The following is a 27,677-nucleotide window of genomic DNA, read 5'->3' on the forward strand; positions in this document are numbered from 1 at the left end:
TAGTTTTCCAGGATGGAATAAAGGGTCTGTAGAGATTACCTACAAGGGAAAGAATATTAAACTGATGAGAAACTTCTCATAATTAACAACAGATACCAGAAACCAATGTAATATTATTTTCCAAATGCTGAGAAAAATATTGGTCTACTCAGAATTGTATAACTACCTTAACTGCAATTCAAGAATGAAAGTGAAAGGAAGACATTTTCATGGAAACCAAAAGCAAGTTCACCATCCGCACACCTTCACACACAAAACAATTAAAGGTTTAGTTTAGAAGAAAAGTGAAATCAGAGACCAAATTTGATATACACACACAAACAAAAGTTCTATGCATAAAATTATTCAAAACATTCATTAATTTAACGATTAGCTATAACATAACTAATTGTGCATATGATTTTATTTTAAAGTGCAACTAATCAAACTGGCAGCAAGAAAGGTTGTGATATTTACTAGCAAGAAAACACTGTAACCTCCATAAGCTGTTGGAAAGGAAGACAGAAACACTAAAAAATATTTAGCAAAGTATGTCGTGATTTATGTATGATTAAAAAAAATAAGACTAACCACTACAGGAATAAAAATACAGCCTGAGGTTACAAACTTGCAGAAGAATTTAATAAAATAAAAAAATGTGAATAAAGCAACAGAATTTTTTAAAAAAGAAAAGAGAAACAAAAGGAAATTTAAAAAAATACAAACTATTATGGTAAAAACATATCCAGATACATCAATAATCTCATCAAATATATATATGGATTAAACTCATCTATTAAAACACAAAATTTCAGAACAACTCTTAAAACTATAGCTCTGTGCTACCTAACACTCACTCCGTCTTTGACACTCTCTCCTCCTGCTTCCTGGTGAAGAAATAGAAATCAAAAGTAACAAGGGAATTACTTCCTATTAATTCCTAGCTTAAAAATAAATAGAAGCCAGGTAAATGACACTAGATAAATGATACTGCTTGTGAATCTTTTGGGTTCTAAATTAGCTTATGTAGGTCCTCTTAGTTTGCTTCAGCACTCTCCTCTCTCTCCATAAACTGCAGTTATGACCCTTATTGGTTGCCCAACTACAGTGTTGCCTACGACATAGAAAATTGCTTTTCAAAGAAATTCTAGCCTTAATGCATACCAGAAACACCTCAGGAAAGTCAAAGTTAACAGATGACTTTTAACTCACGAGGCGAAAGCATTGTGATTCTAGATGTGAGGCAAGTTTGACTTAAGTCGAGAGAAGAACTGAAAATACAGATACCCCAATAGGTTTACAAAGGTAAACTCCATTACAAAAGAAACTCCCTCTTTTGGCTCAAGATTCCCACCCCCTCGTAACCTCAGAACTAAGCAAGAAGGACAGAAGGAATGCATCTCTGAAAAGCTTCAGAGGATGAAACCACAACCCAGCAATCCCTCCAAACTCCCTCCTTCCCTTATACAATTGTCTCCTGCTTACAATACTGTTGTCAAACTTTCTGTGTTTTTCTTCTTCATGGACCTTTGGGGATCAATTCTAGTCTAATAAACTGAACTCTATAGCTTCTGTGGAATTATAACCTGAATTATGACTTTTTAAATATACATAATATAGTCTACATTTAGCTGCTTATTTAATGACTGATTAAATCTTTAAAGTAAGACTAACTAGAAATATTCAAAATAACATCCTCTTGCCTTTTTTAATTTTAATTCTTACATTTAAAATAGACTCACAATAACTGGACATTAAGAATTGTTAGAGCTGTGACACACTAAGAGAGCCCATTATTTTGACTGAAAATGTATTTAATTGTTATTTTAAGCAGAAACTTTGAAAAAAGGTATATGTACACATATAGCATATTTATAGTGTAAATACAAAATATAGTGTATATTTTGATCTGAATATTTTCAGGAGTAAAAAAAATAATTGTAATACAAATGACAGATGTATTACTAATAAGCAAGTATGATGTACCTGTTGGAGCTAAAGGAAAATTTTCCCTTCACTCTCTGTAGCTTAAGTGAAAATCGATGGACAAAAGGCTGATTAAGAGGAGAAAAGAAATACAAATTTATTAATGTGCACTGGGGAGAATTACAGGGTGATTACCCCACCATGCGAAATGTGGTACACATGGTTATATACCCTTCTTTTTAGAGGAAAGGGAGATGGGGATGTGTGGATGATTTTACAGCGACAGCAAATGATTTTGGGGGGGAGTTCAATGAACTTAAAGAACATACAATGAGCTGGGACAAAGTCTTTTGGGTCTGCAGAGTAAACCATGGTTTGTGACAAAATGCTGTCTAGGTGTATTGATGGACTTCTGTCTTTCTTCCTGTGATACGAGTTCAGTTAATGAAAACTCAGGGAAGAGACCAAAGGTAATTGTTTTCTTCTTTGGCAGGTCCGAGCTTAGGCAGATAAGGGAACTCCAGAGAACAACTTCATCCTGTGCTTTGGGAGAGACAGGATTAAGACACAGGAGGCAGACGGAGTTCAGAGGAGACTTGAGGCTGCTTCTTCTGTGCAGCATGTAAAAACACCATATTTGAGAGTATCAATTTCTGAGCTCCAAGGTACCAGAGTTTTGTTTAATTGAACATTGGAAGAGCCTAATGAAAATTAGTCAATAACTAATTTAGAATCCAGCAGACATATGGAAACTTCCAAAATAACCTTGTGCTATTTACTGAGATCATAAAAAGTAAGGGTGGAAATCTGTAATCATGATTTTCAAGGAATTTTTTTCATGAACTACAAATAGCCAACTCTCTTACAAGAAAGCGGAAATACACACATATACACACACACCCCATTCAGTGCAGCCACATTCTCTCAACGCATAAATTATTATCCTGAGAGTGAGACAAGCATCATAATTGTGTTTGCTACTTTAAAATATGTCAGTGCTGATAATGTAGCCACTGATGGCTACCTAATTTTGCCAGTTTGGGATTTGAAAGACATGATACAACATTGTGTCCAACATGCTCATTTGAAAAGTCCAAAATTAAGCCAATGAAGGTAGATAATTTGCCCAAAGGGATATCAAGATAGTAAATGAAATGCAAATAAAACTCAAATATCCTTGCTCGTAATCCAGAGCTCATTCCATAAATTCATATTGCCTTTAAATTAAAGTTATTCTGAGAATCTGACATATTAGATAAAACATAGACCTACTAAATACAAACAAAGCCACAATCTTTCACAAATTATGAACGTTTTTTTCTCCATGGTAGGACAGAGACTATTTCCAGACAAATTGAAGAATTTTCCTCCCTGAGCCATCCTCCATGCTTAAAGGAGAGATAACAAGAGAAAAGAAAAATGTCTTGCTCTTTGAATTAAACAGAAAGGTAAAATTCCAAAAGGAGAGTATCCTGCAGAAATGGAAGCTAGACACAAAGAATTTATATCGCATGGAGAGTAACTGCAATATACTCATTCAACAAGACATGGTCCTTAACACTCTAAATTACAAAACCTCAAAATAATCCCGAAAAACAGGATCACAAAATATAAAATGACTTCAACTTCCAATTTTCTTGCCTAACATGATGGTTACTCCATTACCTCTCAGTGGTAGTTCACACACATACACACAAATACACACTACAATGTACTTACTGAACTGTAGAGATAGCCTTCACCATTCATGGCCACATAGAGGCTAGCCTTCACTCCTTGGATGGCCACTACACGCAGGCCCACGGGAATTAGATTGAAGAGAGCTGGGGGGAGAAAAAGAAGGGCGGAAAGGATCAGTGACCTTTTGAATAAATAATCCTTCTTATAATCATTCTTTTGAGAATTAAAACCTATTAATTGAACTTGGTAGAAAAATGGAGAGAGAAATAAAGAGAGGTCTAAAAACGAGAGAAATTGACTTCTTGACCCTGCACCAGCATTAATTACCTATGTAACTTCAGGTAAATTACATAAACTCTGTACTAAAGGGGTTGGATTAGAAGGTCTCTAAAGGCCCAGCTGGATCTGAGATTTCAGGATCCCTGATCCTTAAAATGATCCTCAAACAGTGTAATATAAGATAATTTTTTCTAACAAACAAATAATATGGACCGAAAAATTCTCAACAGGAGAAAACCTATCTGTAGTCACAAGAAATAACAAAATACTATCTTTAAAACAGGCCAAAGCTTCTTGTTTTTAGTATTTTCCTTGTTGTTCCAAACATTATATTGAACACAGAAGAAGAATGCAAAAATTACTGACTTATTGGTGATAACATTCAGACAAAACTTTTTTCTTGATATCTCAATTTTTTACATGTAAATAAACAGAGATAAACAGATGGACAGATGATTGATAGATAGCTTAAGCTGTAATGGATATATTTTATATCCAGGTGGGAAATACACACACACACACACACACACACACACATATACACACATATATACATACTATATATATACAAATATATATACACATATATATATGCACACACACACACATATACTCAAAACCATTAAGAATTAATTTGACAAAAGTAATTCAACATCCTAAGATGAAATGGAAACATGCTTGCAGTCTTTACATATTCGAGTTGCTCATCACTCAAAATACTCAATAGTCTATATGTCCACTTAGAGAAGGAATTCGTAGATCAGAAAAAAAGATACCTAAGAGAACCTTCTATTTTTCTTCCAACAATATTTTTCTGTCCTTGGGATTATTTCAGTTACTTTTGAGATCACGAAATGAGCATAAACAGAAAACACTGCCCCCACCCTGAAACAATTCACATTGCATATGGAAGAAAAGCAATCATATAGTTAGGCTCTATAGATGGCAACATGGAGATGAATTAAGTATCTCACGGCTGTATGCATAAGAGAATATCTCTGCAGTTCATTTCAGTATCCTGGCTTAATTAGAAGTTCTTATCCACTTTTTCTGTTGATAAAATTCCTATCAGTTCTCGTCTTCTTAGTTTTTAATACAAGATACACATAAATTAACCCAAGGGCTACCATTATTTAGGGATGCCTCTATTTTTCTCGGCTTCTCTCAACCTACAATAGTAAGCTAAACACACACACATGCAGACACACACACTCACAGTATTTGGCTTTCAGTCAAATGTTCAATTGACAGTTGTAGAGGATCAAGTCTTAGACCACAAGTTTAGTAGAACAGGATTCCATTCTTAGCTGTCGACATCGGATCAGTCCTTTTGCCTCTTTGAATCCATTTCCACATTTTTTACGAAAACTGAGACTAGATAAGAAACTGTAAGTAGTTTCTTATAGATTAATTGTTGGCTCAATTTAGATTTGAACTGGTTTTATTTCTTGCTATATTCTTACCAGTGTCCTTGTGTTACTGAAACAACTTAAGAAATACAAGAACTAGACAAAGTCTAGTTGGGGAGAAAAAGCTAAGACATATGGAATAATATGATACAGTGTATAATTTACTTCTATAATTAAATGTAATATATGCATTCTATATATATATTCCCTATGTTACAGAAGTTCAGGAAAATGGAAGCTCTGTGTGGCCTGAAGTATTCATGGAATGCCTTACACAGAAAATGGAACCTGAGTTGACACCTAAAGAAGCGGAAGTTGAGAAAGCCAAGAACAGAAAACATTTTAGTGAGGTGGAAGTTAGGTGGTTTTGCAGAGTAATGTGTGTATGCAGAAAGGGACTGGCAGATTGGTGGATTTGATTTATATTGGGGGGAAATGAGAAAGAACAGCATGTAAATAAAATAAGGATAAATAACCGAGTCTGTCACTCTAATCTTAGATATCTGGACTTTACCAAATAGGCAACAAGACGTGTGACATATGAAAACTAGAGCAACAACACAGATTATGAGATTTGCAGACACATAGTTTCTAAACCCTCCACTCAGTCACTTGGCTTTGAGCTATTCATTTAACTTCTCTGCCTTAGTTTTCCTATCTGTAAAATGGACATGATAATGCTTATTGCACAGAGTTGATAGAACCAAATGCATTGTCATGTTTCTGAAAGTGATTCACAGAGATGTATCCTCTCTAAGAGCTATTTGTCATGAATACCTAATTCTTCTGTTTGTCAGATAAAGTTACCATAAGACTATTGTAAAAACTGACATATTACCTCAGTAATATTTTTTAGTTTATATTCAGCAGATTGCTTTAAAGCTTTAAAATCTAATACCTTATATTTGTGCAAGATTAATTTTCAAAGTGCTGATACATTCATTAATTGTATTTGATCCTCAACCATAAATGCTATGAAGAATTTAGGACAGAATGATTACCTTAATTTATAGAAGTACAAAAAGATTTAGAGTTAACCCAGGGGAAAATGCATCTAAACAAAGGCTTTCAGGCTCCCTAATGTGGTTACCTGTTCAAAACATCATATTTCATCTTTTTGTTCTTTATTTTTCTTTTTTGACAGAGTCTAGCTCTGTCATCCAGCTGGAGTGCAAGCAATTCTCCTGCCTCAGCCTCCAGAGTAGCTGCTATTATAGGCGCCTGCCACCACAACCCAGCTAATTTTTGTATTTTTAGTAGAGACGGGGTTTCACTGTGTTGGCCAGGCTGGTCTCGAACTCCTGACCTTGTGATCCACCTGTCTCGGCCTCCCCTTTTTGTTCTTTTAATTTCCTCTAATATCCATTTTTGCCTTCTTGCAAATAAATAGATTATTCAGCTACACCTTCTAACATATCCTGCAACCAGATGTAGGTCCTATGGACCCACTACTGGCCAATGAGATGTAAGTCATCACATCATTATAAGCTTGAGGAATCCTTCCTTAAAGACAGCATAAAGGTGTCCTTTGTGCCCCTTCTCAACCTTTGCCTATTGCTGTTTGAATGGGGATATGGTAGCTGGATCATCTCAAACCAAAAAAACAAGGACTACTCCCCAGCGGGTGTTGGCAGGTGAGCTGGAAGGAGCTGGGTCCCTGAGAGCTTTGTGGAGCAGTGGCACAAGTCCAACATTCAATTACCCAGGTCTGGCTTTTACGTGAGAAAATAAGTCCTTGTTCTCTTAGTCTGTGCGATGCAGAGCCAACTCTAATCCTAACTGATAGAGATGCTAATGAAAGCAGAATTAATATGCAAGATATGAACTAGATGCAAGGTACTTCATTTTAAATAAAAGCAGATACTGGAAAACGATTAAGTTCACTGATAATTACTGTGAGAAGGAGAAAAGACTTCCCAGGATAAATGCTAAGAACACTGGTTTATGTAGCTGACCATAGAAGGAAAAGCAACTATAAAGTTTTTCCTACATGGAATGAGAGAAAACTGATAATGCTAGGCAGGGACAAAAACAAGAAACCTGTTTGAAAGTTTTATATGAACCACAACATGATAATGGCCTTTAGCTGGTTTGCTTTGTGAGACTTACTAAGCCCATTTTTAAAAATCAGTAAACGATTTGAAACGAGACTTTATTGGTAAAAGCTAAACATAGTTTCTCTGGAAAGGTCCTCATCTGCCTCCTAAAAGTCCCAAAAGGTGGCAAATGACTTACTGTTATCTATTAATTATCTTCAGAGTAGCATACTGTGGCTCCAGCTCACAGGAGCCCTTTGCTACTCCTTTCACTACTCCTCAAAGCCACTGTCCTAACTCATAGTAACTGGGCTGCTTGACTCCACCCACTCTTTAAGTCCCTTGCATCCTCTTAAGCCATTTTCCTGCTTACAACCTGCAGTGATTCCTCCCTGTCTCCAATGTCCTTTACAACCTGGCTCCAACCCACATTTCCAGCTTATCACCTGTCACCCTTTCCATCTGCTGTAACCGGCTTCACAGAGCTTTTTGCCATTTCCTAAGTTCCCCCTCGATCTTTAACTAGGCTGGAGTTTGTCCTCTTTTGTCCTCTATCTCTTTTTGGAAAGCTTATCTTCCCACTTCTAAATTTGGCCAACTCTTTTCATCATTTAAGGCCTACCTTGTTGAACTCCCCCATGAATCTTGCCCAAAACCCTTCAGAAATAATACTTCCCTTTTCCAGATGGCTTATTTCTTGTGTATATTTCGGTAATGATATTTAGAACATGGTTTTAGAGTTCTTTGTTTATATCTCTGTCTCCATCCCTACAATGCAAGACTCTTGAGGGTAGTTGCTGTAATGTCTAGCCCAGGTACATGTACACAGCTTTATTAAATAAATGTTATTATATGGGTTATGACAAAAACACGTTATTTCCAGGAATGTAGGTTTTCTTGTTAGAATGAAAGTTCTTTTTAAGATAAAAATGAAATTAGAAACTTAAAGCATCTCAGCCTGATACTCAAAGTTAATCTACAACATACATTTGTGCTACATGGCACTTTCACTCCAATACTGAGTGCTTCTAGTAATTTGATCTTCCTCCTCCTACCTTCTAAACTCCATCTTTTTGCTAACTTAGCTCCCTCTGCTTGGAATGTCACTCTCCCTACATCTTCACACTGAAATCCCTGACATGCGTGAAATGACACACCAAATGCCAAGTGCTTTCTTTCACTTCTTAGCTGCCCTATTCCTGGATCCAGACTATATTTATCACAATTTATAGTTTTATTCTTCTAAAAAATCTGTTTCCTCTGCCAACCACAACCAGATTGTAAGCTCTCCAAAACAAAACTCACATCAAAACTACACTTGTATAATACAAGGAAGGGAGGAGACAGATAGAGACAGAGAAAACAAGAGGGAGAATATGCAGGGTAGTATATATTCTGTGTATATTAGCAATCCCAGTAAACATTTGCAGACTAAATAATACTACAATTATATGCCAAATAGAGTCCAAGTATTTAATCTGACATTCAAAGATCTTCTTAAACTTGTCCTTTCCAAAAGGAGTATCTTGTTCTACATCTTTTTGTAAAGTTGACTCTTGTATTTTGAAAAATGAAATAATGGAGCTGGTACTCTTGGCTTCCATAAACCAAGCTCATTCATAAAACTTCACAGAAAAAAGGTAATGGAAAAGGTAATGAAGAGAAAGTATAGTCTCTTCAACAAATGATGCTGAAAAAACTGGGTATTCACACATGAAAGAATGAAATTGGGCCCTTATGTTATACCATACATAAAATTCATTCAAAATGGATTAAATAATTAAATGTGAGACCTAAAACTGTAAAACCCATAGGAAAAAAACATAGGGGAAAAAGTCAACATTGGCCTTAGCAATGATTTATTTCTTGGATAACGAAAAGCACAGGCAAATGAAAGCAAAAACTAGACAAGTGGGATTACATTAAACTAAAAAGCTTCTGCAGAGCAAAGGAAACAATCAACAGAATGAAAAGGCAACTTATGGAATGGGAGAAAATATTTGCAAATTGTATATCTGGTGGGGGTTCAATATCCAGAATACATAAGAAACTCCTATGACTCAAAAGGAAAAACAAAACAAATAAGCCAATTAAAAAATGGACACAGGGCTTGAACAGACATTTCTCAAGAACAACAAACAAATGGCCAACAGGTATATGAAAATATACTCAACATCACTAATCATCAGATAATTATGAGCTGTTAACCTAAAATAAACACTTCCAAGTTATAAAATATTAAAGGATCACTTTGATTAATCATGCTACAGGAAAGACTGAATTATATTTCTCTCTACAAGAAATGTATAATAAAATTGTTGTCATATGGAAAGACATTCAAAAATTATATATCCATAATAATGGGAAGGAAATTTATAGACTTGCTGCTATCAGGCAATTAATTAAAATGTTGTATTATTTTCCTGAGTTGTATCATCTTTGATAGTTCTCAGCTTTTCAAAATTTAAACTGTTGTGGTATATTTTCTCAGTCTAAATACTCAATTTTGCATCTAATTTTCATTTCATTATATTTATTTTTTCGAGGGAGAACCCCACATAAGATAAGCTTTAGGACCTACAAAACCTAAATCATTCTCATATTGAAATTTAAGTGGAAGGAGAAGATGAGAGAAAGTAACAAATGAGAAAAGAAAAACTAAATAGATAATATTCATTGACTGTCTATTTTTTCAGGCATCCTGCTAGGTAGGCATTTTGATATGCGAAATGTCATTTTATTATAAACTCAGTATTTGACTACTTAAAATAGCTTCATTGAACAGTATATAAAAGTCCTAACTTCTTTGAGGGGTACAAAGTGAAAAAAATTGAGAAAATGTAAAGCACCATCCTAACATTTGGAGTTAACATACAGCACTTGTAAAAACCTGACTTAGAAGTCATTTATTCTTACCATAAATATTTGTTAGGACTTACTGTATGCCAAATACCATGCCTAGGCTAAAAAAAGAGTGACGAACATAACAGTTGTGGTCTCTAGTGAAAAGACTTTTATCTGTGAATCTTTCCGAGGTTTCCACTACTTTAAGGGCAAGTTGAAGGTACCAGAAACTTTTATTATGATCCCCAATGCCTAGCATGATATCTTGGTTTTAGAAGCTGTTATTCAATATCTGCTGAATAAATAAATGAATTAGGAGTAGTTTCTCCTTACACATGTTTATTCATAACTTTTCTCAGTCATATTTTTATAATTAAGCATGTAAGAAAAAAATGGAAGATAATATGTATTACACATAGACTAAAGGAAAGCCAAAAAACCTACATGGTACAAAGTCTGAAATGGCAGAATCATGGGATGCATAGGCCTGGTAAGGGTAGGAGTATGTGTGTGTGTAGAGTGATGCAAGGTTGGAGGGAATTAAGAGGAAGGAAAGAGTTTGGGGAATCTGTTACAATTGAGATATTAAACATCTTGTCAGCAAGGCGTGGTGGCTCATGCCTGTAATCTCAGCACTTTGGGAGGCTAAGGCAGGAGAATCACTTGAGCCCAGGAGTTTGCGACTAGCCTGGGAAACACAGGGAGACTCCATCTCTGTAAAAATAAAAACAAAAATAATTTAGTCAGGTATGTGTGTGTGCCTGTGGTCCCAGCTACTTGGGAGGCTGAGGTCGGAGGATAGCCTGCACCCAGGAATTCAAGGCTGCAGTTAAGCCATGATTGCACCACTCCACTCCTGCCTGGGTAACGGGGCAGGGCATGCCTCTGTCTCAACAAAATAAAATAAAAAATAAACATCCTGTCCAATGATACTGCACCAAAAAATGTACTTTCTAAAAGTGCTATGTTTTACTCAGCTTAATTTCTACCTGTACACACCATATTATTCCAGTAAGAAAAAGGTAACAGTCAATCCAAAACACATAGGAAAACAATGTGACAACCAAGAAAGTTTCAAAGAAAGAGAAGAAGAGGAAGAGAGGGAGAGAGGGAGAGAGGGAGGAAGAAGGGAGGGAAGGAAGGAGAAAAAAAAGCTCATTACAAATTGTCTTTGGAACATGTAAATCCAGTATCTTTCCAAGTAACTTCTAAGGACAGACTCATTGCTTGTAACGAAGAAAGGTATAAAAGAGTACAGTTGTATTTAGAAATTCTAGATCTATTTTGTCAAATGGCCAATAAAAAAGATTCATCCTGTGACCCATTAAAAACCCATGTGGAACATACTGAGAGAGAATGGAGATATTTGGGTTTATAATCTGTGCATTTTCAATGTTAGATTTCCTTGAAAATTCAATATCATTTCCCACATCTCAAAATGTTCTCAATCAAGATATTTTATTAGAGTGTGAATAAGATCATATCCTACAAAATCTTAAATAAAAAGTTAAGTTAGTACCAGGTTATTTTCTCCTACAATAAATCCTATAGTCTCTCACAATAATATCTATAATTATAATATTCATAATATTTGCAGGCCACTCAATTGGTTTTTCCTCAGTTATGAAATTAATATTTACTTCTGTTATTTATAATTTACTTAAGTCAATTATTCACCCTCCCCATTCTCAACAGGAAAATGCTATTATTGAATATACAGCAAAGGAGTGAGCTCTTAAATCTTCCAATACAAAAGTGGTTATATAAATTATGGTACAATGGAATGTTCACCCAGGCAAATTAATTATTCATTCCCTTACCCTAATTCCACAGCATTCCATACATAGCACTTATCACAGTGCTTATTAATATTTATATGTTTGTCTGAGTTTCCCTGAAAACTAGGGATTCATAGAATATAACATGTTTTTGTTGTTGTTTTGCATCCAGATTGCATTTCAAAATAAAGCCTAAACAATTGTTGTTACTGAATTTAACCCTCTAAAACAGCATTTCTTACAGACATTAAAGGAAAGATGTAACTTGCCGTATTCTTTTAGCTTTTAAGTCAAGGAAATAAGTGGTCTTGGTGACTCCAAGTAATTTAATGAGGTTGCAATTTTTTGAATTTCTGCAATCAGACCTTGGCGATGACTTTGAGCAGTAGGATATAAATAACTCCCACATGCGTAGTGTTCCAATAATGGAACACTAGGCATAAATGAGTTAACCACTTTGAGTATTTCTTGGCTCTGAATGCTTCACTGGATTGTTATGAAGATCAATGAGATAATAAAAACAAGCCACTTTTTAAACCATAAAGGATACAAAGCATCACTATCAGTGTTGTCAGTGTTTTTGTTCTCATTGTTGTTTTCATATCTCCACATCTGGAGTTTTCATAGTAGGAGGAACATGGCTGGGTGGTCATTATTCCATAGTTCAACTTAAATTTTTTAAAATGTTATGGGAGAAAAAAAAAAGCATGTATTCCATCTTCTATTATTGAAGTTCCCATAAGCAAAACAACTATGTGGTTAAAATAAAACACTGTTAAGAATGTAAACATCAACATACTTTAAGTTATATTGGTTCACTGCTTTAAGTATGATGTCCTATTTTATAAGCAATTGGCCAAATAGTCCAACTGACTGATTTATTTTCTCACTGAATTTATCGACTTACAGAGCTGACTAGTGGTTTGGGACTTCAGAGACTAAAATTTTTCTTCTAAGCATTGGCTGACAGCATACACTGTGGGTTTTCAGCATAACAAAAATGAGCAGCATTGTGATCTCTTTATTTGATAAGGTAGTAGAAATATTTGCCTTAGCTCTGGTAAAAGTCCTGTCATTGACTTTTAATCCTGATAATATCATATAACCTTTCCTATGATAGTTCAAAAATGTTCAAAAATTTGCATAATTAACAAGTCAATTAAACGTGATTATTTTTTCATTAAGATGAAAAATGAGGCATATCACTATTGATAATGAAAGCAAATGCCTGTCATTACTCATTCTCTGGAGCCATTTGTCTTACACAGACTTGTCTTGGAGCCCGTCTGGTCTGAAGAATTCAGTGAACAGCACAGGTGACGGTCCATAAGATCAATGGGCAGAAACATCTTCCAAGAAATCTTTGCATGTTTTGAAGCTTTTAGATTTGCATCCTCTATAAACCTTTCATCAAAAACTATGTTGCCAAAATCAATACTATGGCCTACTAGGTTTATTCATTAATTCATCACATATATTCCAGACATTGTGCCAGGCACTTGCAATACAGTGGTAGAAAGGACAGAGATGGTACCTGCCATCATAGTAGTTAAAGTCTAAAATAGATAAAAGTAACCACATGTGTAATATGTATCCATCTTTACAGACCAGGAAACTGATACTCAAAGATACTGTTTTCCCAAGGTTATAAAGTCAGCTAGTGAAAAAGCTAAGCTGTGAACCTAGATTCTGGTGGCTACAAAGCTGTAAAATATTGTTGCTCTTAAGATATAACATAGGCCGGGCGCGGTGGCTCACGCCTGTAATCCCAGCACTTTGGGAGGCCGAGGCGGGCGGATCACGAGGTCAGGAGATCGAGACCATCCTGGCTAACACGGTGAAACCCCGTCTCTACTAAAAATACAAAAAATTAGCCGGGCGTGGTAGCGGGCGCCTGTAGTCCCAGCTACTCGGGAGGCTGAGGCAGGGGAATGGCGTGAACCCGGGAGGCGGAGCTTGCAGTGAGCCGAGATCGCGCCACTGCACTCCAGCCTGGGCGACAGAGCGAGACTCCGTCTCAAAAAAAAAAAAAAAAAAGATATAACATAAAATTCTAATGATAACAATTCAAGTAGTTGTGAAGAAAGTAGGAAAAACAGACTATAATAAGAAAATGTGAAAACCTTACAAGGAATGTTTTAGCCAAGTAGAACCATCCTGCTCAAAAGGTAAAAAATCTTTAGTTTTTCTTAGATAAAATTACACACAGGCAACACAAGCACACTTATTTGAGTTGATTTAGATATGCTCAAAGCTTTGCACGTTGTTATCATTAATACCTAAATAAGAAAATATGACTGCCTAATTCCAAAAATATTAAGTGGATCTATAGAAATAAACATAATGTGGAAAGATTTTTTTTTTTTAGAAATTAGGGATAAAAAAGGACTTGAAAAATAAAATGATTATTTTGTCCTTACTATTCTCTACTTCAAAATCTCTCATTCAATCCATGTCTACTATAAACTCCAGTTAGAAAATTTTTCTAAAGTATTGCATTTTACTCATTGCTCAATAACTTTCATTGGTTCCCCATTTCCTACAACATAAAGCTTACACTCCCTTAAGTGTCAGTTAAGACACTCTAAAATATGGCCCCATGATACTTCCAAATAATCTCTTTGCTTCATGCAAGCTAGTGGGTTAATTTTTCCCTTACATGGTGGGAGCTTTCTCCACTTCCTGATTTTGTGCCTCCTTACCTGAAATACAACTGTCCTAATCTTAATTTATTTATTTTGTTCCCATTCTTCAAGAATTGGGTTAAAACCAAACTTGTTGATCACTATGGCTTTTGAGGATCTGTTAGATCTCTGAAATCTGGTGATTCTTCTAATCACTTGGTAGTACCAGTGACACCTTTTGTTTTACATTAAAATGTAAAACCTTTTATGCTCTGGGAAAAGCTAGAAGGCAGGAATTGTATCAGATTCATTTTTGTAATCCAGTAACTAGAACGCAGTTGGCCTTCAATATGTTGGTATTAATGAAAATAAAGCATGCATATGGCAGGCATATGTGAAAACTCAATCATTTTGTGGTAGCTGCCTGAAACAATGTCTTAAGGAGACATTTGAAGCCAGGCAACAATGAATGTTGTGAGAATTTAGTGATGTCTGCAGTGAACACAGGAAGGGGTACTTCAGCCATTGATTTGTCATTTCCCACTTGAGGGCCTCCTTTTATAATAAAATAGCATGAAACATTCCATAAAAACAGCGATGATTTGCACCGTACTTTAAAATCAATATCTTATTGTATAACTTTGACTCAAAGTTATAATAATACAAATTTGGAATGCAAACTTTAAAAATTGAAGAAAAAAACCAACTCTCCAGAGGTAATTTAGCTTAATGGTTCACAGACTTTGCTGCATATTAAAACCTTCTGAAAAGTTTGAAAATTCTGATGTCCAGACTACACTCATAATAATTAAATAAAATTGCCTGGAATTGAAGACAAGTACTTTTTAACTCCCCAGATTATTCCAGTATGCTTCATTGTTGAAAACAATTTAATATTCAATAGTCTGGGATAGTTCTAGCAAGCTCACATGCGATACTGATTCTTCCCAAATCTTACCAGTCAATGAACCAAACCTTGCTGCTCAAAGTGTGAACAGCATCACCATCATCTGGAGCTTGTTGGAAAGGCAGAATCTCAGGCTGTATCCAAGAATTATTGAATCAAAATTTGCATTTTAACACAATTACAATGCAGTTAAAGTTTTGAGAAGTGCTGTGTGCTTGGTTCTCAAAGTGTGGTCCTCCTGCAGACTTCCTGATTCAAAAACAAAGATTTTGGAGCCATTGTTGAGAACCTGGATCTATGAGGAGCGGCTGCTGTCTTCCTTTACGTCTCAGTAGGGCTTTTCTGCCCAGATCATCAGTGTCAAAGACTGGGAAGAGACCATATGTAACTGTATATTCCAACCCCTTCAGAGGGAAACTCCAAGTGCACTAGATGTTAATCTTATCTAAATTAGACTTCGATCAATTCTTCCAAAGAAAAGAAGGTTGGTCTAAGGCCTAAAAGAGTGCTGAAACTACAGATGTGGTTCAAAAATGGCTTCTTACCCAATTTGTCAAAGCTCTGCTCAAGTCCTTCATTTTTTCTGAAATGGCTCTTGATCACTCTTCAGTCAGCATTGATTTCCCCTGTTGAGACTTTCCAAGGCACTTCCTTCCATAAGAGTACATTTTGATATTATTAACTTAAATCTCCTACATATTATTCCCATTTTGCGGATGAGGAACTCTGGTTTCAAAGTGTTAAACTAATTGCCCAAGTTTATCCAGCTGGCAAGTGGAGATACTCATATTAATATCCATGATTGTCTGTCCCTAAAATCAAATGGACTATTTATAACACTATCCTGCTTCCTCAAGTATGGGAAATGATCCCTGGTATATACTATAGAAACAATAAAAGTGATGTTTTCTGCTCGTACCTAAGTAGGAAGGAGCAAGGAGTTCTCTTTAGGATATTTGTAAAAATTCAACTGTAATACTGTGGAGTGGGCTTAATAATGCTGTGCATACATAGTCTCACATAGGTATGTGTTCCAGATTCGGTCTCAATGTCAAGGGAAGCAGATGTACTAAGTGCAACCTCGCTAGATCTTGGCTGGATGCCTGTTCAGTACCACTCTATCTAGGCTGCTGAATAATACATGAAAATATATATCCACATAAAGACACACACATCCTACACACCTCAAACTTCTCAAATCAGATATATGAAATAGGCAACCAGGTTATTTAAAATCTTTAAAATTATTGTATAATGGTTTATTATCTCTAAAAAATGTTTTAATATATATTTTAAATACGTCAAACACATTGAAGAAAAATCCTTGCAAGTTCACTGTTTAGCCTGTCTAAAGTAAACCTCCATAATATTTTAGAACTAAACCACGTTGCCTTCTTAATGCCTTTTGAAAGTGTTGTCAGAAGAATGCAGAGGTATGATTTAAGAGATTGTTTATTATACACTGGGAAATATTAACCAGGAAAGATAAATTCGAGATACAGTGTAAACTGGGTGAAGGTATTAACATTGGAACTAAACTTGCTGAATTCAAATCCTGGGTCTATTATTTAATATCTTTAAGGCCATGGACTAATTATTTAACCTTCCTGTGCCTCAATTTACTCATCTTCAAAATAGAAATGATTACAGTACCTTTTATAGGGTTATCACAAGACTTAACTGAGTACAATTTTGAAAATTTTCATAGCTGTACTGAACATTTAGAAGGTGTTCAGTAAACAGTTACTATTATCTGATATGTCCCCAAGTCATAGATTAAGAAATAATGCTTGACACGTAGGTGACCATTTTATTTTCCAAATCCTTCATTCCAAATATGTAGTTCTTCTTTATGCTTCATGGTAGTATGCCCTAGAAAATGCTAATCCATATGAGTATACATTTATAATTTATACCTTATTTAGCTGGTGGCTAAAAACAGTGCTTAATCAAACCAGAGACATATAAGAAACTACACTGCAATTCATTAAGAATATGGACAAATCTATACAACCTTGCAATCAGTAACTTATGTTGAAGACGGAGCACAGGATATGGATATAGTAGAAATGAATTCTACTTACTGTACTTAGAGCAAATCAACTCTCACTTCAGAGCCTCAAAGTAAGGTAATGAATTTCAGGAATTTTAAAGTGATCTCTAATTCTCACTCATCAAAATTTTAATACCCTTTTCCACTACTTCAAGAAACCCTCTCTTTTTAGTTTCTTATTCTTAAAACACCTGAGTGTGTATTTTCTTTTTCCTGCAACATATGTTTAAATTTATACTGCTGCCCTTAGATGAATAATAAAAGCAATGACTCTCTCTCTTATGGGCAAATATACCATTTGCTTATTTTAAGAAAATGATGTCTCTATAATTGTCAACATGAATATATATATTCATGTAACACTTTGAGAATATATGTAACACTGCGAAAGTGTCTTCTTTTACTATTATTGCTATAGAATTCACTTTTCCAGACTAAGCATACTCAATTTTCTTCCTATTTTCAAAATGGAAATAATTTCCTTACTCATCCCTTGAATTCTCTTAAATCATCTGTCATTCTCAAGACAAAATGCAAGCATGGTCCCATTAGCATTAATTTTTCAAGCTGGGCATTGTCACGCAAAGTCATATTCATTTTTGATGGGGTTGTTCTGTGAATTCACTTTCATTCATTTATTCAACAAATACTGAATACCTAATATGTGCCAGGTATTCTTTTAGGTGCTGGAGACATAGCAGTACAAAATGCAGATAAAGCTCATTGCCCCCATGAAGCTTATATTCTAATTAAATCTTTTGGTTTCAATGGTATAATGATTATACTATTGCTACTATCAATGAACTTATCCATATCCATTATCAAGGCGTTACTCATTATTAAGAATTTATTACAGGCCAACACAGAGATAAAGCAGGTATTGTCAATGCCCTTAAGTAGTTCATAACCAAAAAGAAGTCAGCCAGTCATATACACAATAAATACATACAGATGAAACAGCATAAAATCATAAGAGATGTACAGTTTGTTCAGAGAAAAAGTAGAATGTACAGTTAAATCAGAAACAGGCTTCAAAGACAAAAGGCTTTTAGAGGATGGCATAATTAGTGAAAGAAATAACATAAGCAAGTATAGGATAGAATAAAAAAAGTATGGTATATATAAGTAATATTTTAGTAGTAAGAAGACATAATAAAACAAGTAGGTATATTAGATAGTGGTAAGGGTTCTAAAGATGAAAACAAAATTCAAGTAGGCAAAGGAGACTGAAATATTGAGGATAGGGACTGAGATGTATATAGATTAACTAGAAAAGATCTTTTTGAGAAAAGGCTTCCCTTTTGAGTGGAGTATGAAGATTATGAGGGATTGAGCTATTTAGATATTTGGAAGGACATTCCAGAAAGAGGGGGATAGCTGGTCCCAATGCCTTCAGGCAAGAACATGGTTGGTGTGTTTGAGGAACAGCAAGATGGCCAGTGGAAAGAAAGAGGAGAGATAATATGTGAGGAGGGATGAAGGAGACAACGGGTGAGATTATATAAAACGTTATTGGTCATAGGAAAAAGGTCATTGGCTTTTACCCCGAATGATATGTGATGAAAGGGATTGAGCAAAGAAGTGAGTTTATTTCGTTTTATCTTTTAACTGGGTCACTCTGGCTGCTGTGTGGAAAATAGGCTGATGCGGGGAAGCTTTAAGTAAAGAGACCAGTTAGAGAGTTATTGCAAGAGTCCATACAAAGAGGATAGTAGCTTGGACTAGGGAGTGGCAATAGGGGTATTGAGAATTGCTGGAAATCTGTATATGTATACACTGAAAGTAGCAGTGAATTCACTACTGTGTTCCAATTCAATGCAAAAGCTATTGTACTATTTGCTCTTACAATTTTGCCTTCTTTTGTAATGTGTTTAAAATAAAAAGTTTCCCATTTTTCAAAGGTGAAAACAAAAATCATTGTCATCTTGTAGGCTTGCAAAATTTCAGATCTATCAGAGATACTGGATATTATCTTTTCTAAACGCTTCATTTTACAGAGTAGAAAACAAAGGATTCATTCCTCAGAGGAGAAATGAGGGGTGGGGGAAGTAAACCAAGGAACAGAAAGTTTGTGGGACTTAAATAAGTTCACTCAGCTATTTAGAGAAAGAACCTGGACTGGAAACCAGGCTGTCTGACTCACAGCCCAAGCTACTTTGTCTTACAATCGGTGATATTTAAGGGGTTTGTACTGTTCGTTTAAAGTTCTGTTCTGTTATTTTGATTTAACAAACATTGAGTGAAAGCCACAGGTATCTCAAACTGAAAAGTCTTCAGGCCCTAGGCAGGTAGGAAGAAAATGTGGGGAAAAAAGTAGATGCATCTGTTGCTTACATACAATCATTCCCCCTTCCCAAGCATGCCAGCTAAATGAAACACATTTGTAGCTCTTTGGATTTTGGAAAATCTCCATTGCTTGGCTAAGCAGAAGGGCAAATAAGGAAGTCATACTCTAATAGGGAAAACACAAAAGCAGATAAGGAATTGCAGTATATAATGTGACTTGCGCAGCTGTAAACAAATGCATAACCCTCAAATACAGCAGAGTGAAGTGAGTGAGCGTGGGGTTCTGTATGGGGGTGACAGTTGAGACAAGATGGCTAAAGAAGACCTCACATGGACAAAAGAAACAAGAGTTGAGGAGGGTTTTGAAGGGTGAGAGTGGCTTGCCTCCTGGATAAGATTGGCAAAGACATCGCAAGCAAAATAAATTTGCATATGTAAAAGCTCCAAGACATACAAATCTGTGATACAGGCTTACCTATATCACTACATATTTTTCATATTTTTTTCTTTTTTTTTTGTAATCCTCCAAACTTATATTTGATCATATATCTGTCCAGAATTGAGCCTTGACTCTCTTCAAGTAATTAATCAAAATGTAACAGATTTCACACATTGTTTAAGATGATAGAAAGTTTGAATTTCAGTGTCTACAGACCTCTGCTTTCCCTATTATATTAGGAGTCAGATCCCCATAGAAATAGGCTTCACAGTCCCAGAACAGAGATTGCTTTCATTAGCAAATGTGAGCACTTCAAATCCTGGGGGCAGAGGAAAGATGCCAGTTGTACTTGCTGCAGTGCATCAGAATAATCTGGATGGCTTGTCAAAACACAGATTGCTGGGCCCCAGCCTCACAGTCTCTGATTCAGCATGTCTGAAGTGATGCTGGAAAATGTGTATTTCTAACAAGTTCTCAGATACATAGATGCTGCTGGTCTAGGGACTAGACATTTTATGAATCACTGACTTATTCTTCAATACCCACCAGTGTAAACACCTTCAAATTCTTCCATATAATAATAGCTGCCACTGCTAAGAATTCTATTTCTGTTAAAATGGTCACTGTGTATGAGCTCCTTGAAAACAAGGGGTCTCTCATCCCTGTTGATGAAAATAATGACAGCAGATGACATTTATTAAGAATTACTGTGTTCTAGGTACTTTTAAGGAATCAAACCATTTAAACTACACAACAGCCCTATGATCTAAATATTATTATTATTGTCATTTAACAAATGAGGAAATTTAACAGAGAGGGGTTAAATAACTAATTCAAGGGCAAAGAATCTCAAGTCAGATTACTTGGACCCAAATTCTGGTTTTAGCATTTATGTATTTAACTCTCTAGATCTTTAAACACACTTTGAGACTATCACACAGGGATTTGCAAACTGATGATTTCCTGCCTGCTGGTAACATATCTTTCAGAACAAAGGGTATTTAGGGAAATGGAGGCTGTCAATCAGTTTTTCTGAGCATACCTTTACTTCTATATCAGAAGTAAATAAAAGACTATCAAAATCTTAGTGATTCTTGGCTCCTCTAATGTTGTACTATCTGAATTTGTATAAATCAGAGAATGTTTATGTGACTTGCCCACGGCCAAAGCACTAGTCATCACACAGAGCCAAAAACAGATCAAAGACAACCTCAGTCCTCAGCTCTTTCTAGGAATACACTTGGTTAAGGAGCTCCAATAAGATTTTTAAATACTATGTATTCTGCCTAGAAATATGCCCATAAAAAGTCACAGAGTAAATAAGAAAGAATATCATTTCAAATGACTCGTTTTGCTTTACTGACCAGAAAGATACATGGGAGCAGAAGTCTTTTTTTTTTTTTTTTTTTTTGAGATGGAGTCTCGCTCTGTCACCCAGGCTGGAGTGCAGTGGCACGATCCCAGCTCACTGCAACCTCTGCCTCCTGGATTCAAGCCATTCTCCTGCCTCAGCCTCCCGAGTAGCCAGGACTACAGGCGCCCGCCACCACACCCGCCTAATTTTTTATATTTTTAGTAGAGACGGGGTTTCACTGTGTTAGCCAGGATGGTCTCGATCACCTGACCTTGTGATCCGCCAGCCTCGGCCTCCCAGAGTGCTGGGATTACAGGCATGAGCCACTGTGCCCGGCTGGGAGCAGAAGTCTTATGATCAAAAATATATATAAGATCAAGAAGAAAGTGAGGAGCCAAGGCTGAAGAATCTGGAGGAGTTATCCCCTTATGATTTTATGTAAGGGGGTAAGCCATTCAAGAAAATAACTAGTGTTTGCTAAAATTTTCCACAAATATTATTTGGAGGCACTATCTTTAAAATTAAAACACAGTCAATGAAAACAAATTTCTAACAAATTTAGAACATCTGTTTAATTTTTTGTAGTACCTGCATGCCCTTGTGATAAGAAATAGATTTCCTTCATAATTTTCCTCAGCTAACCATTTGGATCATACTTCTGTTCATAGTTTAGCAATAAAAGCTTCTGCTGACTTTGGCTGTGTCTATATACTTGTGACTGGTGGTATCAAAACATCATATGTTTGGTATTGTATAGAAAACATAACGAGTGACTAAACTTTTACATTTCCAATTGGTTTTCTGAAAATCAGACACAGAACATTTTGAAATGTTTGTTGTTGCTAAACTCACAGTGAATTTAGTACGTTCATAAAATCTAATGAAAGTGTATTTGTATTCATAACTGATAAGAACATAAAGTATTAGAAGTCTAGACTGAGAGAATCTTAAGAAATAAATTCCAGATTAACTAAATATCAAATATAAGAAAAGAAAGAATACGTTACAAAAAACAAAACATAGGAGACTTTTTAAATAATTTTGGATAAATAAAGGCTTTTTAAATTGGAAAGAAAAGCTGACGGCAGAAAAGCACATTTAAAATAAACAAAAAAGAATAAAGCATGGCAAAAAAAAATATCGGAGGCAACAGAATTAGAAAAAAAAGGTAAATCACAACAAAGAACTGATTTTTTAAATACAGATTTCCTAAAAATAAGAAAAGACATTTCATAGAATCAGATATAGACAGACAGTTCATAGAAAAGGAAGTAAAGATCACCCTTAAACAAGTGTTCAACCTAACTCATAATTTAAAAAAAATTAAAATTTACATTTTAAGGTAACAAAGAACCAAGTTTTTTGTTTGCTTGTTTGTTTGTTTTTAGTTTTCGAGACAGAGTCTCGCTGTGTCACCCAGGCTGGAATACAGTGGCACAATCTCTGCTCACTGCAACCTCCACCTCCCTGGTTCAAGCAATTCACGTGCCTCAGGCTTCCGAGTAGCTGGAATTACAGGCATGCACCACCGTGCCTGGCTAATTTTTCTTGTATTTTTAGTAGAGACGGGTTTTCACCATGCTGGCCATAGCTGGTCTAGAGCTCCCAGTGTCAGGTGATCCACCCACCTCTGCCTCCCAAAGTGCTGGGATTACAGGCGTCAGCCACTGCAACCAACTAAAACCAAAAGTTTGATAACACATTTTGTTGACTAGATGATAAGGAAACACAATTTTAGAGTAAATTTGCATAATGGAGAGCAATTAGGTGACATCTTTCAGAATGAAGAAAGCACATACCCTTGACCCAGCAATTCTACTTCTAGGTAACTATCCTATAAATACATTTGCATATATGAAAAATGACTTATATAGGAGGATATTCTTTATAGGATTGTTTGTATTAGCAAAATACCTAATAGGAAATTAAGTATTTAAATTATCCATTTAAATATGTATTATATGAAAAAATCTTGCAGATATACATTTTAAGTTAAAAGAAGGTGCTGATAGATCAATATAGTAGATAGATAAAGACAGATGGATGGATGGATAGATATTGTACATGTTGATAAGTGCATAGACTATATCAGGAAAATATCAAGAATGTGCCCAGGTGGCAATGGAGGGTGTGAATGAAAATTGCTTTTGACTGTGTCAATGACTTCCAATGAATATCATAAACACACCCAAGGTTGAACAAAGTTTGTTTTAATAACACTCGGCAAGGAGGAAAAATACACACCAGAGCAGAACTGGGGTTTCTTGGTAAGAGGATGTAAGAAAAGATTTACAGGATTTGGGTGTGTGTCAAGTGGTTTTAAGGAGGGCTCAAAGATATGTGAATCTGCCCCAGATTGGATGCTCTAAGGATGTGGGTGTAATTCTATGGCTACTATCTTAGTAATTCTTTTCTAGAAGGCAAGAAGAACAGAGCAAGGTTAAAGCTGTGTTTGGTAAAGAAGCAGCAGCCACCCACATAATCTAGGACAGAGACATATTTGTTCATTTTGTAATTTAGGAAACATTTTTGTTTTCGTCGTGTTCAGACATGATTACAGGGTCTTGCTTTTATCTTGACCCATCATGTCTCAGTGGCTTTGTCTAATTGCAAATGTGAAATTGTCTATATTCAACAGAAGGAGACCAAGTCTTCTTGGGAGTGTCAAGCCACCTGCTGGCTGTCAGGGACTGTTTTGCTATTTCTCAACTATACGCCCTTTTGTGCCTTTATAATTTGGTGCCACATACTTATCTTACCTATTCAAAATAATTTTTAAAAGAATATCAGGACTAAATGAGACCTTAAAAGTCACTGAGTTCTGAAACCATGCCCCTCCCACCACCACTCTGCTTCCTCCTCCCACACCAAGGGGGTTTTCTTGTAAACCTCTCCCTTTGCCTCAAGTGCCAGGACAGCATCTGCTTCAGTATCTCCAGTCTTTCCACCGTACTAACTTGTCAGGCAGCCCATTCCATATCAAATGCTCTTAATATTTTATTGTTCAGAGGTAAAGAGAACAATACCTTTGGTTATAATATCTTTGTTGTTTTCTCCCTAGCGTTTTTGACCTCTTCAAATGTATCTTGTCCTATGGTAACTCAGGAAACAAAATAATTAGCTTTTTAATTTTATGTAAAATATTCCTATTAATACCCTCCAAACTGCCATTGTCTTTTTTGTTCCAGTGTTCCAACACAGTTTTGTGCTTTTTATCATTACATTTGCAGAGATTCTTATCTGTTCCTGCCGACAAATCCATTTGTGTTTTGTACTCAATTACATATAATTAGTCTTTTCTTCATGAACAAAAGAACAGGTGTCTTTATCAATTCTGTGAAATATACCATGGTAAGGTTGGTTAGACCTAATGATGTCTAGTGAACCAAACAACACATTTCTGACAGATGCTCATAGTAACAAGATTCTTTTTTCAAACAATCAACTGCTTCTACTCCTACACACACAAAGTAGAGAAAGAAAAGACATTTTAACAACTTAGAGGTTTATAATTTTTCTATGAAACAAATGAGTAGAATTTAAATCCTTCTTCGATATTTTGACTTCTAATCCCCACTCTGACAAAGTATATGTAAAATTATTTGTTTTTATTTGATATTCTTCATTAAAATATGTGGGGAAAGTGTCAGAAGAAAGCACATTAGTTGAAAAACTGGTAACATTTTAATAAAAGCTATAGCACTCTGTAAATAATATTCACTAGTGTCAATTTTCTGATGTTGATCAGTATGTTGTTACGTAACATGGTACCATTAGTAGAAGCTGGGTAAAAAGTATAAAGGAATTCACTTTTATTACTTTGTAATTTTTCTGAAGTCTTAAATGATTTTTTAAGTTAAAAAATATGTGGGGCCAGGCACGGTGACTCACGCCTGTAATCCCAGCACTTTGGGAGGCCGAGGCGGGTGGATCACCAGGTCAGGAGATCGAGACCATCCTGGCCAACATGGTGAAACCCCATCTCTACTAAAAATACAAAAATTAGCTGGGTGTGGTGGCATGTGCCTGTAACCCCAGCAACTTGGGAGGCTGAGGCAGGAGAATCACTTGAACCAGGGAGTCAGAGTTTGTACTGAGCCGAGATCACACCACTATACTCCAGCCTAGTGACAGAGTGAGACTCCATCTCAAAAAGAAAAAAAAAAATGTGGGTAACAGTATTTTAGCCAATGACCTACAGCCACTGAACTCCAGCCTGGGCAACAGAGCGAGATTCCGTCTCAAAAAAAAAAACAAACAACTTTTCTACATATTGACGGAGACGTTCATGCACCTAGTCATTCATCATTCACTTTGTATTGAGTGCTTACTATGTATTACAGACCATTCATTCTAGGTTCTAATGATGCATGAGGCATCAATCAAAATCTTTTCACTCATGGAACATACATTCTTCTGGGAAAGAAGATCAAAAATAAATAAACAGCAACAATACATATTTCAGAAAGTGGGATATGAAAATAGAGTTCCAAGGTGAGAAGTGTAATTTTTAAAGGACTGTTAAGGAAGGCATCTTCAACACCTATAAGACAGATCTTAGCAGCACTATTTGTAATGGCCTTAACATAGAAACAATGATTATACACAAAAAGGAAAATGAATAAATATGTTTGTATACATTCATACAGTGGGATATTTTACAAAAATGAAAGAAATAAAGCAAATAAATATATTACCATATACAAACCTCACAACCATAATATTGGGGATTAAAGTACATAAAATATATTTATGATAATGTTCTAACTTATAAAATATTTTAAAATATGCAAAACAATATTATGAATTAAAATTTTTTCTTAAATTAGATATATATGAGACATACAAAATTCCAGGGAGTTATTATATCTGGTAATGATGAAAAGTAAGATTCCATGAGGGAAAACACAACAAGAAGGTTAAACTATATTGATATTTTTAATTAATTTTAAAGCTAGTGGTAGGTATCCAGATAAACTTGTATTAATCTATATATTTTGTACACCTAAATGATTTTAAACACAATTTATTAAATTTATCTTAATAAAATATTAAGATAGTTTATCTTAATAAAATATTAGTTTAAATTTGGGAGTTCAGAGAATTTTTAAAAGTACTTATTTGACACAATGTGTGCCCTATGGTGTGTGTGTGTGTGTATGTGGGTTTGTGTGTGGTATGCAGAATGACATTATGCTAAGATATATATATGCATGGAGGAAGGTACAAATGTACACGTGGGTGTAGATTTACACTAGCAGTTCACCCAGCGTCAGCAGAGCAAGCGTTGTCAATTATTTTCCTAGAAAGAGTGAAGGAAGGATTTGTCCTAGCTTGACCCCACACTTGCACTTCTACCCTTCTGTCTCTGCCCCATGATAAATGTCATGCATTTGCAAGATAGTTGGCTGGGTAAAGGTAGCATTTTGTAGATTGAATATGGCTAATCGTCTTACTTGGGGATTGATTCTATCTTCATCAATTTATAATTTTTCAATTTTTTTTAAAGTTAGATGGACGATGCTGACAGGGATGTTGATATATCATCACCATCTCCAGCCATTAGATTTTATAGAAATTAAACCTGAGAACTAGTAATATCTTGGAGTTAGTGCAGATAAGTGACACAAATAAGTGGTTCCCTGGTTCTTGCATCTATATTTGTAGCCTCACTAAATCGACATTCAGTTACAGACGCAATAAATGAAAGTACATGGAGAGAAAAGTATCCTGATTCTTCTACACTGAGTTGAAAGCTTTAATCATTTAAAGAATGCTTTCACAAAAACACAAGCCAACAATGCAAACCAAAATCAGCCAATCAACAACTTAGCAAAAAATCTGAGAGCAAGAAAACTGAAATGAAATTCTTTATAATAAGATCTTTTATTTATTGTAAATTATATTTTAAATGTGTAATATTAACTGAACAAAGAATAACTTAGAAAGGGTGGACAAGGGCATTTTCATTCATTAGGGATTTTAAATTTTTCCTCAAATAGTTCTTAATAATTTAAAAGACGTTTCACTACAAAATATCTAGCTTCCTAAATTACTTTATGCAGTTTGGTAGATTATCAGCC

General features: G+C 35.4%; 1 protein-coding gene across 7 annotated transcripts in view; it reads right to left on the minus strand.

Annotated features, from left to right (window-relative positions):
* The window catches only part of FGF12 (fibroblast growth factor 12), a 588,152-nt gene that overhangs the window by 192,347 nt on the left and 368,128 nt on the right, over positions 1-27,677 (minus strand). For all 7 annotated transcript variants that reach the window (NM_001377293.1, NM_001377292.1, NM_004113.6 and 4 more), the window contains one exon: positions 3,625-3,728. In NM_001377293.1, coding sequence (NP_001364222.1) covers positions 3,625-3,728 — 104 coding nt within the window. The remainder of the gene's footprint in view (positions 1-3,624; positions 3,729-27,677) is intronic.

This window comes from Homo sapiens, chromosome 3 (genome assembly GCF_000001405.40).
Source record: "Homo sapiens chromosome 3, GRCh38.p14 Primary Assembly".
Classification (NCBI taxonomy): domain Eukaryota; kingdom Metazoa; phylum Chordata; class Mammalia; order Primates; family Hominidae; genus Homo; species Homo sapiens.